The sequence below is a fragment of the Homo sapiens genome, chromosome 22 (genome assembly GCF_000001405.40).
Source record: "Homo sapiens chromosome 22, GRCh38.p14 Primary Assembly".
Lineage (NCBI taxonomy): Eukaryota > Metazoa > Chordata > Mammalia > Primates > Hominidae > Homo > Homo sapiens.
In genome coordinates this window covers 32,450,448-32,462,708 of record NC_000022.11, presented here as the reverse complement: position 1 = coordinate 32,462,708, position 12,261 = coordinate 32,450,448, and the positions used below count along the sequence as shown (strand labels likewise).

General features: G+C 42.9%; 1 protein-coding gene across 5 annotated transcripts in view; it reads left to right on the top strand.

The window, feature by feature from the left end:
* The window catches only part of BPIFC (BPI fold containing family C), a 50,602-nt gene that overhangs the window by 1,738 nt on the left and 36,603 nt on the right, over positions 1 to 12,261 (top strand). For 2 of the 5 annotated variants that reach the window (XM_017028740.2, NM_174932.3), the window contains exons 2-4: positions 1,048 to 1,135; positions 5,323 to 5,446; positions 9,206 to 9,326. In XM_017028740.2, the coding sequence (XP_016884229.1) occupies positions 5,323 to 5,446; positions 9,206 to 9,326 (245 nt within the window). In that variant the 5' untranslated portion in view covers positions 1,048 to 1,135. Of the gene's footprint in view, positions 1 to 1,047; positions 1,136 to 2,865; positions 2,984 to 4,674; positions 4,792 to 5,322; positions 5,447 to 9,205; positions 9,327 to 12,261 lie in introns of those variants that run through there. The other 3 variants (XM_047441302.1, XM_011530089.2, XM_011530090.2) reach the window with 3 other exon arrangements.

Genomic DNA, 12,261 nt, shown 5'->3' with positions numbered 1-12,261 from the left:
CCAGAAGAACAAGGTTGGGTTCCCAGGTGCCTTACTTACTGTGGGATCTTGGACGAGTCATCAGATTCTCTAAGCCTCCATGTCCACGTGTCTAAAATGGGAGTAAGATAATAAGAACATCCACTTCAAAGAACTGTGAGTTTTGTAAAGGGTAAAGAAATAAAAATTTATTATTTTAGTTGTTATTCCATTCACAAGTAATATTTCTTCTCTGGTTTATTATGTTTTTTTCACTATAGAAATGGAGAGCTCTATATTATATATGATAGTTTGGTTTTTCCTTTTTTTCTAACCATTTGTAGAACCTTTCTTAGTTGACTGGAATCTTTTAAGTCAGTCAGTTGATCAGTTAGCACATATTAATTTGGGTCTTACCATGTGCCAGGGAGAGATATCATGTCTGCCTTAATTTGCACACAGTCTAATAGGTACAGACATTTTGGTCTTAACATTCTTTCCCATTGCATTCCATTGCTATGAAAATATTTTTCTTTTTTTTTTCTTTTTTTTCTTTTTTCTTTTTTTTTTTTTTTTTTTTTTGAGATGGAGTCTCGCTCTGTCGCCAGACTGGAGTGCAGTGGCACAATCTTGGCTCACTGCAACCTCTGCCTCCTGGGTTCAAGTGATTCTCCTGCCTCAGCCTCCCACATAGCTGGGACTACAGGTGTGCGCCACCACACCTGGTTAATTTTTGTATTTTTAGTAGAGACAGTTTCACCATGTTAGCCAGGATGGCCTTGATCTCTTGACCTCATGATCCGCCCACCTTGGCCTTCCAAGGTGCCAGGATTATAGGCGTGAGCCACCACGCCCGGCCTATTTTTGCTCTTTTAAAACAAAAATCTCTCTAATGCCTGTCTTGGCATAACACATCCATTTACAATTTTTAGCCGGCAGTGATATTAGCAAGACTGCTTTTCAGTTTGGCCTCGCCATATGTTAAAATGTGGAAATGCTCCTATACCAGTTGGTCAGCAGCCACTAACCTGAGTCCCAGAAGTGTTCTCCTCACTCCCATAGTTCATCTCTACTTATCCCCCTTTCCAGGACACCTTGACTAACCTCCAAGGGCAACTAAAGGATCAAGAAAGGCCCAGCACAGCAGAAGATCAGCTGGATCTAGCTCCTGCAGGAGGTACATGCATCCATTCAGAGTGTTAAGATGCTGTTACTGTCACTCTGCCTCTCAGGACATGGAGGGCTTTACACCCCCTTATCCCACTCACCACATTTCCTCCAACCTTCAGATCACTCATTGCTTGGCCAGAGATCCTCCTCTCCTACCCAAATCCCTTCCCCTCAGCTCTCAACCCTCCCATTTCCCTGTGCTTCCCTTAGTGCTGTCTGCACCCTGACCACCCTCAAGTCATCCTTTCTTAGCTCTGCTCCCAACACTGCTCCCCAGTTTCCCTCTGTAACTTGTCCTGTAGAACCCAAACCAGCTCTTTAGGGCTGAAATATCATGCTGGATTCATAAGGCCATATCAGTGGTAAAATACCAAAATGCCTTAATAGCTAAGGGTAAGGAGCCAATACTCTGAGTGTCCCCCTCCTATTCCCAGTGCCCCCAACTACTCTGGCCCCTCCTGTAAGACATCCCCTGTCCTCCCCATGATCTGGCACTCAACTTCCTGGCCCCTGCTCCAGGACTGTGGCCAACATCTGTTTCGATGGATGCCTGCAGTTTACTAGTACACAAATACTTTGTTAACCATCTCTGTAAAGAAGTGTAATACATGATAGAGTAAGGTAAGGGATATTCCTTCATTTATTCATTCTACCATTGATTCATTCTACCAACACTTAACAGTCACTCACTCTATCCCAGGCACTGAGCCAGACCTAGGACCTCCAAACCAGTTGCAGTCTCTGCCTTCAGGCACTTATATTCTGGTAGGGAAGGCAAATCATAAGCCAGAAAAGAAACATACACGCATGAATAAATATGTATTTTGATCAAGGGTTAAAAGGAAATGAAATTAACTCAGGGAAGTCATAAATGGCTTTAGAAAGAAGATGGTGCTTTAAATGGGCCTTAGGGATATGCACGGTTTCTGCAGGCATAGGCAGAGGGGAAAAACATAGGCAATAGCATTAGGCAGAAAACGTGGCATGTGTTTAGGGACCAGTAGTTCAGTTTGGCTGGATGGTGGGGTATAGAGGGGGCTCCTAGGAGATCAGGTGAGAGATGTAAGCAGGTTGACCCAGCCAGCCTTCTCAGACCTGAAGATGAACTTACCCACAGACAGGTGAAGACCTTATTTCTAAACCTTTGGCCTCCAGCAAAATACCCACATAAGCATTCACTAATCTGAGCACAGGCCCCCTGTGTAAGTTGGGGAGTTTGTGCACTAGACAAAATTCCAGCCCAATGGATACATAGGATAGCCCTTCCACCTCCCACCCAGCTGCGTACACTGGTGTGGGGTTTTCCTAAAATGCTTTCCACTGGCTCCACTTTGTGCCAAGAGGCTGGCATCTCTCCAGAGGGGCGCCTTTTCCCATTTCACACAAAAGCCCAAGATAGGCTAGCAGTGGCCTTGCCTGGACACTTCCATCCCTAATCAGACTGCTCTGTTCTTTTCAAGCAAATTCTCTAGAAGTCCCTTTATATACATTGCCCCATTCCCACCTCCATGGCCTCACCTTAAAGCCTACTCACCCCCCTTAATCAAACCTCTCACCTACTTCGGCCAAGGGCTCCACCTCTTACAGTGACCTCTTTTCCTTCACCCAGGCTGCTTCTGAATCCTACTCATCTCTGAATCCTTACCTGACCACCTGGCCTGACCCCTCCCTCTATCTAAACACATGGCTCTCACAGTTTCCTCTTTTTTTATTTTATTTTATTTTATTTTGAGACAGGATCTTGCTCCGTTGCCCAAGCTGGAGTGCAGTGGCATGATCACAGCTCACTGCAGCCTCCACCTCCCAGGCTCAAGCAATTCTCCCATCTCAGCCTCCCAAGTTGCTGGGATTACAGGTGTGTACCACCATCCTCAGCTAATTTTTTAGTTTTTTTTTTAATTTTTATTTTTTATTTTTGGAAATGGAGTCTCACTCTGTCGCCCAGGCTGGAGTGCAGTGGCATGATCTCGGCTCACTGCAAGCTCCGCCTCCCGGATTCATGCCATTCTCCTGCCTCAGCGTCCCGAGTAGCTGGGACTACAAGCGCCCGCCACCACACCCAGCTAATTTTTTGTATTTTTAGTAGAGATGGGATTTCACCACGTTAGCCAGGATGGTCTCAATCTCCTGACCTCGTGATCCACCCGCCTCGGCCTCCCAAAGTGCTGGGATTACAGGCATGAGCCACCGTGCCCAGCCTTATTTTTTATTTTTTGTAGAGATGGGGTCCTGCCATGTTCCACAGGCTGGTCTCAAACTCCTGGGCTCAAGCAGTCCTCCTGCCTTGGCCTCCCAAAGTGCTGGTATTATAGGTATGAGCCACCACACCTGGCTTACTTCTTCCTCTCTGACCACATCCACAAGGTCACCTTCCTGGGCCTTCCTTGATTTGTTTCATGTTTGTGTGTTAGCGCAGTGGTACCTGCCACCTGTGAGTCTTTTGCATGTGTAAGTGCAGCAGTGATAGCTCACCCAGATTGTAACTTCCAAACTAGAAAGAAGGCCTGTGAATATATTACTCACTTGATTTTCATTAAAAGAAACCCAAATTACTGCTGCTTTTGGGACCTGTGCTTCATCTATCAAGAAAATGGGATGCCATTAATTTGTTTGGTCTATTAATTCAACAAGCATACGTTAATCATTCATGTATGCCAAGTATGGGTGATATAACAGTGAGTAAGATGTGGTCCCACTCTTTGCAGAGAATGTTTATTTCATCAAAAATCTGTTGTGTGCCTACTATGTGCCAGGTATTGTACTGGACTCCAGAGTTATAGAAGTAAGACACAATCCCCATGACAAAGGGATAGACAAGTAAAAAGACAGTCACAATACGGGATGGTGTATACTAAGATTAAGGGCTTCCCCAGGTGCTGGAGAACCCATAAGGCACACATGGCCCAATTCACAGCTTGTGAAAGAGACTTCATTCATTCATTCATTCCATCTGCCATTCAGTAGTTCCCTAATGCCTGCTGTGTGCCAGTCACTATTCAAGGTGCTGAAGTGATGAAGTCCTTCCCCATGAAGCCTAAAAATTCCAGCAGAGGAGATAGACAATACACACATCAGTAACTGGATACTACACTAGATGATGATAAGTGCTTTGGAGAAAATAAAGCAATGGTGGAGTCATAATAACAGGGCCACAGGGAAGGTGTCCATGTTCTGCATTGAGTGGCTAGGAAAGACTTTGCTGAGACGACATTTGAGTTATCTGAAGAAGTGCAAGACCGGGTTCTTTGAGGAAGACTATGCCAGGAAGAGGAAACAGCAAATACAAAGATCCTGGTGTACAGGCTACTTAGATCATTAAAGAAAGATCAAGTTAGCCAGTGATGCTGGGATCATGAGAGCCAGGTGTGTGTGTTAAGGACAGAGGTCAATGAGGAAGTGGAGGCATAGGGTCATTCCATCAGCTACAAGGCCCTCTACACCTTGTAGCTGATAAAATGACTTCGGCGTTTACACTGAGTAAGAAGGGGAACCACTGAAGGGCTTTAATGGGGGTGGGGAGTAACATGATCTAACTTTCATTTTAAGAGGCTCACTCTGGCTGTGGTGTGGAGAATGGCCAGAAAGGAGCAATGGCCGAAGCAGAGAGACCAGTAAGGAGGCTATCACAAAAATCTATGTGAAATGGTACTGGCTTGAACCAGGGTAAGAGGAGAAGTCCTGCCTGCAAACAGACAACATCGTGTATCAGATGTTCTAATGGACGCATATGCACTGTGTAAAGTGTGGTGGGATCCCAGAGTAGAATGTGATGAGCCCAGGGTAAAATGACTTGGTGAGGGAAGTTTTCACAGAGAGGGACATGGAGCTGGCCCTGAAGGATGCATATTCACTACTAGTCTGTGAAAAACATAGGTCAGGGGCCATGTGTAGGTCAACACTACACCCTTAGCACCTAGAACACATGCTGGTGTGTTCAATAAATGATTGCTGAATGAATGGATGGATGGGTGGGAGAGCGCATGGATGGATGGATGGATGGATGGATGGATGGATGGATGGACGGATGGATGGTTGGATGGATGGATGGATGGATGGATGAATGGATGGATTGGATGGATGTATTGAGTTCTGGAAGTAAACAGTAAAAATGAGAAAATCTAGAAATGTTGGATTTAATTGACCAAAGAGAAAGTCAAGAATAATAAAGGAACCTTAACTGTTGGTTAATTTCAGATGTGTACAAAGACAATCCCAGTCCTCTGGGGATGTTTCCTCCTGTGGAATCTCTATGTCTCATCCTCTCAGACCATTTACCCTGGAATCAAGGCAAGGATTACTCAGAGGGCACTTGACTATGGTGAGTTGGATGTTTTCAGAAGCCAGACCTCAGGCCCACTAGGTGGGGTCTGTGACCCAAACTGAACAGCTCATAACATGGGCTGTCTCCTGACTGAGAAACGCCGTACTGTGGGGTGATCCAGTACCTTATGCAGAAACTGCTAAGATGGCTGCGAAGAAAGCGTTGCCTAAAAAATAGTCAACTTGATGGGAGGCATGTCCAAACACAGCACAGATTCTCATTGTCTCTCTCTCTTTCCCATATATACACATAATGAACATCTGAGGGTTCCAAATAAGACACATTTGTAGGATACAGGAAAGGAAATTTGAAAGTAAAAGTAACACCTTGGGGCTTCAGAAAGGGCTTGGTTTCAAAAGGGACTTAGAATCCCCTAAAATTGGGTTAAAATGTAATATGGGTGACTGCATTTTTCTGAGGAGAGGCTCCTTCATATTTATTGGATGTGGGAAGGAGTCTGAAACACTGAAAGGTTAAAAGCCACTCCTTTAGAGAACATTTATAAACACTAGGGAGAGACAAACGTTGGGATGTGATTTTCCTTGGGCTAAGATGAGGTGGGAGCAGATTGTGGAGAGGGAATGGACTGCAAAAATCAAAGTATATGGACCTGTTTTCTCCTGTGAAATTTTACTTGAGATTAGCTAAGGGTAGGTTGATGATGGAGCTTTCTCAGTCCTCTTTAACTAAAGCAGTCAACCTAAGCACTGCTAGTCTAACCAAGAAATACCTAACTAAGCCTAACTAAGAAATGCTTCTTCTACTATACCAGAAAAAATAAAATAAATAAATGAGGGAAGGGAGGGAGGGAGGGAGGGAAGAAAGAAAGAAAGAAGGATTGAGGGAGGGAGGGAAGGAGGGAGGGAGGGAGAGAGGGAAGAAAGAAGGATTTAGAGACAACTCCTTGTTTTTCTGCTAGTACATCATCTAGTGCAGGAGATCTAAAATTGAGCCATCTTGCACAAATGTTATGTGGACAATGGTGTGTGTAGAAATACGTACCAGGAATATATGTATGTGTATATGCATGTGTGTGTATCTTGTTACTATACTGATGTGCTGATGTGCAAAGAAATACATATCAGAAACAGATATCTTGTAACAGTATTAAAGTTGTGCAGTTCTTTTCTTCACCTTCTGGAGCAGAGTCATTAAAAGAACAGATCTGAAGTCTATCCACATGGCTGTAAATGTCAGTTCTGTTGCTTTCCTTGATACATGGCCTTGGGCCAGTGGATTTTCTCATATGGAAAATGGGATGATAAAAATGGTGCCTACCTACCTACACTTAGTGTGAGGTGAGGATCAAACGGGATCATCCATGGGCTATAATCCCACCCACAGGAAATATAGCATGGGCTAGTGGAGAAGGGCAGCCTTTGAATTCAGAATCATTTCTTGAGCATCTACCATGGCCGGCCTCTTTGAATGTGCTTTCTGGGCTGTGTGTTGATCTAATTCCACCAACAACCCTACAAATAAGCTGTTGTCATTTTATAGAGGAGGAATATGACATTTCCCAAGTCTCACAGCAGTAAGGGACTCAGGCAAATATGAATTCAGGTCTGTGCTGCCGGAGCTTGAAACCTGCACTCTATCATCTACTCCCTGTTCCTCCAAGCTCTGGATAATGCTGCTCACTAGCTGTGGGCTCTCGGGCAAGTTACTGAACCTCCCTGAGCCTCAGCTGCCTCCTTTGTGAAACAAGGATAATAACACCTCGTCACTGGGTTGCTGTGAGGATCCAAGAAGAGAGGAGAGAACGTATGTGGAGTCCTAGCATAGACAGGCACTCAATACAAATTAGGTATTTTTAAAATTTTATCAATGATTTATGCCTCCACATTTTCTAGTAAGAGATCTGATGTGTCTGTTATTAGTAATATCTGCAAGATATTTTTTTAAATGGAAGGCCAGGCGTGGTGGCTCATACCTGTAATCCCAACGCTTTGGGAGGCCGAGGCAGGAGGATCACGAGGTCAAGAGATCGAGACCATCCAGGTCAACATGGTGAAACCCGATCTCTACTAAAAATACAAAAATTAACTGGGCATTGTGGCATGCGCCTGTAGTCCCAGCTACTTGGGAGGCTGAGGCAGGAGAATCACTTGAACCCAGGAGGCAGAGGTTGCAGTGAGCTGAGATCGCACCACTACACTCCAGCCTGGTGACAGAGCGAGACTCTGTCTCAAAAAAAAAAAAAAAAAATGGAGATGAAAATGAAAATTATAGTACCTACCCATAGGATTGTTGTGGAAAATAAATGAATTAACATACGTAAAGCGCTTAGAATGCTGTCTGGCCATAGCAAATATGGCCCAACAAGTATCAGCTACTGTCATTTTCACATGTGTGAACAGACCCCTCCAAGGTTACTATTGTCATAGATGAAGAAAGTAAGAGACAGAGAAGCTATGTAACTTGCAGAGTCACACAAGCTATTCAGTGGCAAAGTTGGGATTCAAACCTAAGCTCTCTGGTAGTGCCTCTGGCTCTATCTTCACATCCTTTATATCTGTCTTTGCATCACCATATTGCAATATTTTTTTCTGGCATTTTAGAGGATAAAACCTGCTCTTCTTCATCCCCAACAAGGATAGGATAACTGGAAAGGAACTTAAACTGCAAAATAAGGGGATAAAGGCAATATTTCCTCCTTGAAAAGGGTGAAAGTAAATGTTCTTCATTAACTATGGAGGTTACTTTTCTCAAGCTCTTTAATGTGGGAGAGGTCTCTTTTCCCCAATGAGCTCAGAGAAATGTGTCGTGTGATGCTTCCATATAAAGAAGCTGATGAGTTATTCCAGGATGAAACAAAAGCAGTCGTTATTAAGTTTTTAAAAATATCAGGATCCTTTGACAATCTGGTCAAAATGTAGATTCTCTCCCTTCAAAAACGAGACACATATGCACACACGACTCACCCACAGTTTTTTATTAGAATTTCATGTAGTTCAGGAGTTTCCTACAGCCCAAGAACCACAGGCCAAAAATTCTTGAGCTTAAAGAATCTGAAAGGAAAAAAGAGTGTGGAATAACCTTCTGGAACTGTCCATAGCACACAGATTCTGGAGCCGAAGTGTCTGAATTTGACCACTGGCTCCCCTAGTTCTTAGCTGTATGATTTGGGCAACAGTGAACTTCTCTGAGGCTCAGGGTCTTACTCTACTGCCCAGGTTAGAGTACAATGGTGCAATCATGGCTTACTGCAGCCTCGACCTCCAGGACCTAAGCAATCCTTCCAACTCAGCATCCTGAGTCACTGGTACTATAGACATGCACCATTATGCCCAGCTAATTTTTTAATTTTTTTTTTTGTTGTTGTTGTTGTTGTTTGTTTTTGTAGAGACAGGATCTCAATGTTTCCCAGACTGGTTTCAAACTCCTTGGCTCAAGCGATCCTCCCGCCTCAACCTCCCAAAGTGCTGGGATTACAGGCATGAGCTACTGCTCCTGACCTGAAGAAAATGTTATACTTTTCTTCTCACACTGTTCTGTGATAAAACTCTTTAGTCCTCCTGACGTAATGAAAATGTCTCATGTTAGCTCTGTGGTCTTGGACAAGTTCCTTAGCCTCTCTGAGAACCAGAGTTTTCATCTGTAAACCAGAGACAATAATACCCACTTTGTGGGGTTGCCATTTTCTAAGTATCTAAGGGCATGTCTCACTCAATAAATTGTATTTGTGTGGTTAATGTTATTATGCTATTATTATCTTTGTCATTATCAACAGATTCTTTCTTGTTTCCTTCACAGGTGTTCAAGCTGGAATGAAGATGATTGAGCAAATGCTAAAAGAAAAGAAACTCCCAGATTTAAGCGGTTCTGAGTCTCTTGAATTTCTAAAAGTTGATTATGTAAACTACAATTTTTCAAAGTAAGTAAAAAGAAGAGCATTTTGCCTCTTATAAGAAGCTCAAAGGAAACAGTGGAGGAATTCTATGGAAGCCCCACGATTTCATCAGAATCCAGCCTTCTTATCTTTTTCTGTTCTGCTGTCCTTAGCTCTGGTTTCTATTCTCAAGTTTGCCTCATGGCTCAATATGGCCACTGCGGTTCCAGCCATCAAATCATCATGTTTCAGGCAGCTAAAAGGAGGAAGAGACGAGGGTAAAGGCGTTCTTAAAAGCTGAGTCAGTCTTCTTTTTTAATGAGTTTTTCTGAAGCTCTACCCTAATAAGATCCTGCCTAACCAACAATGGACAGAACTTAATTATATGGCCACATTTATTAGCAAGGGAGACTGGAAAACTAGTTTTCCAACCAAACAAGTTTGTCGTTCCCAATAAAATCAGGAATGTTCAGGGAAGAAAGTGAATTGGAAGTTCAGACAGCAACTGACAATCTCTGCCATAGTCTCCAGCAAAAGCCCCAAAGGCAGTATAAGGAGAGGATAGCTTTGTCCATCTGGAGCTCAGTCTTAAAGGTCAAGGGAGAGTCAAGCTCTTCTAAGGGGTTCTCTGTGACTGTGATTCACAATTTGCCCCAATTGTTAAAGATTTTACCCATCCAGTGATAATTCCCTGCTACTCCAACCCTTTGGGGTGATCATTCCCCTGCTGTCAATGATAATATTCTATAAAACCAAGAGGTTTTTTGTTTTTTGTGTTTTTTTTTTTTTTGAGACGGAGTCTTGCTCTGTTGCCTAGGCTGGAGTGCAGTGGCGCGATCTCGGCTCACTGCAAGCTCTGCCTCCAGGTTCATGCCATTCTCCTGCCTCAGCCTCCCAAGTAGCTGGGACTACAGGCACCCGCCACCACGCCCGGCTAATTTTTTTTTGTATTTTTAGTAGAGACGGGGTTTCACCGTGTTAGCCAGGATGGTCTCGATCTCCTGACCTAGTGATCGGCCGCCTTTGGCCTCCCAAAGTGCTGGGATTACAGGCGTGAGCCACCACGCCCAGCCCAAAACCAAGATGTTTTGACAAGGAGGAAGAGAGATGGTGACTTAGGGAAAGTTTCTGGCTAATGCTCTGATCTGTATAAAGTTAGCCATTCAACAAGTATTTATTGAGCACCTGCTACATATCAAGCCTTGTCCTAGGAACAGGGGATATTAGGCTGGGCTCAGTGGCTCACACGTGTAATCCCAACCCTTTGGGAGGCCGAGGTGGGAGGATCACTTGAGCTCAGGAGTTTGAGACCAGCCTGGGCAACATGACGAAAACCCATCTCTACCAAAAATACAAAAAATTAGCTGGGCATGATGGTGCACACCTGTAGTCCCAGTGACATGGGAGGCTGAGGTGGGAGGATCACTGGAGCCCTGGAGGTCAAGGTTGCAGTGATCCATGATTGTGCCACTGCACTCCAGCCTGGACAAAGTGAGACCCTGTCTCAAAAAAAGAGAAAGCAATAGGGGATATTGTAGTGAACAACATACCTGCCCTTAAAGTCCAGTGGGAGAGATGGACATTAAATATATATTTACAAAACTAATTATTTAATTACAGTAATAATGCCACAGCAGAAAGTACAGGAAGAATTGTACAATATCATGTGTAGGTGGAGATGGGGAGAAACAGGTATTTTCTTTTTTTAAAAATTTATTTATATATATATTTATTATACTTTAAGTTCTAGGGTACATGTGCACGACGTGCAGGTTTGTTACATATGTATACATGTGCCATGTTGGTGTGCTGCACCCATTAACTCGTCGTTTACATTAGGTATATCTCCTAATGCTATCCCTCCACCCTACCCCAACCTGCCCCACAACAGGCCCCGGTGTGTGATATTCCCCTTCCTGTGTCCAAGTGTTCTCAATGTTCAATTCCCACCTATGAGTGAGAACATGTGGTGTTTGGTTTTTTGTCCTTGCCAGGGATCTAGAACTAGAAATACCATTTGACCCAGCCATCCCATTACTGGGTATATACCCAAAGGAGTATAAATCATATTGCTGTAAAGACACATGCACACGTATGTTTATCGTGGCACTACTCACAATAGCAAAGACTTGGAACCAGCCCAAATGTCCAACTATGATAGACTGGATTAAGAAAATGTGGCACATATACACCATGGAATACTATGCAGCCATAAAAAATGATGAGTTCATGTCCTTTGTAGGGACGTGGATGAAGCTGGAAACAGGTATTTTCATGCATTGCTAGACAGGGTGGATAAACCAATACAATCGTTTTAGGCCTGTGCTGTCTAAACAGTAGCCACTAGCCACAGGTGGCTATTAAACACTAAATGCAGCTAGTACAACTGAGGAAATGCATTTTTATTTATTTGATTTTCATTAATTTTAATTATAAAAACTGATGCTCAGTTTGACTACTGAAAAGCTTTTAAGTATGTTTGGAACAATTTTGTAAGTTTACTTTTTCAACTGAAAATCTTATCAAATCTAAATACAGGTTGAGTATCCCTTATCCAAAATGCTTGGAACAAGACGTATTTCAGATTTTTAATTGTTTTGAATTTTGGAATATTTGCTTTATACTTACTTATCATCCCTAATCCAAAAATCCAAAATGCTCCAAGGGGCATTTCCTTTGAGCATCATGTCAGCACTTAAAAATTTTGGATTTGGGATGCTAAACATATATAGGTCAGTATCTCTCATAAAATCCAATGTTTGAATTGAGGTGTATCATGAGTATAAGATACATACGAGATTTTGAAAACTTATTTTTTTAAAAAAAGAAAATATCTCATTAGTAATTTTTATATTGGTTACATATTCATATGACAATGTTTTACATATATTGGCTTAAGTAAATATATTAAGAAAATTAATTTCACCTCTCTTTTCCCTTTTTAAAATGTGATTACTACAAGATTTTAAATTACTGTCAT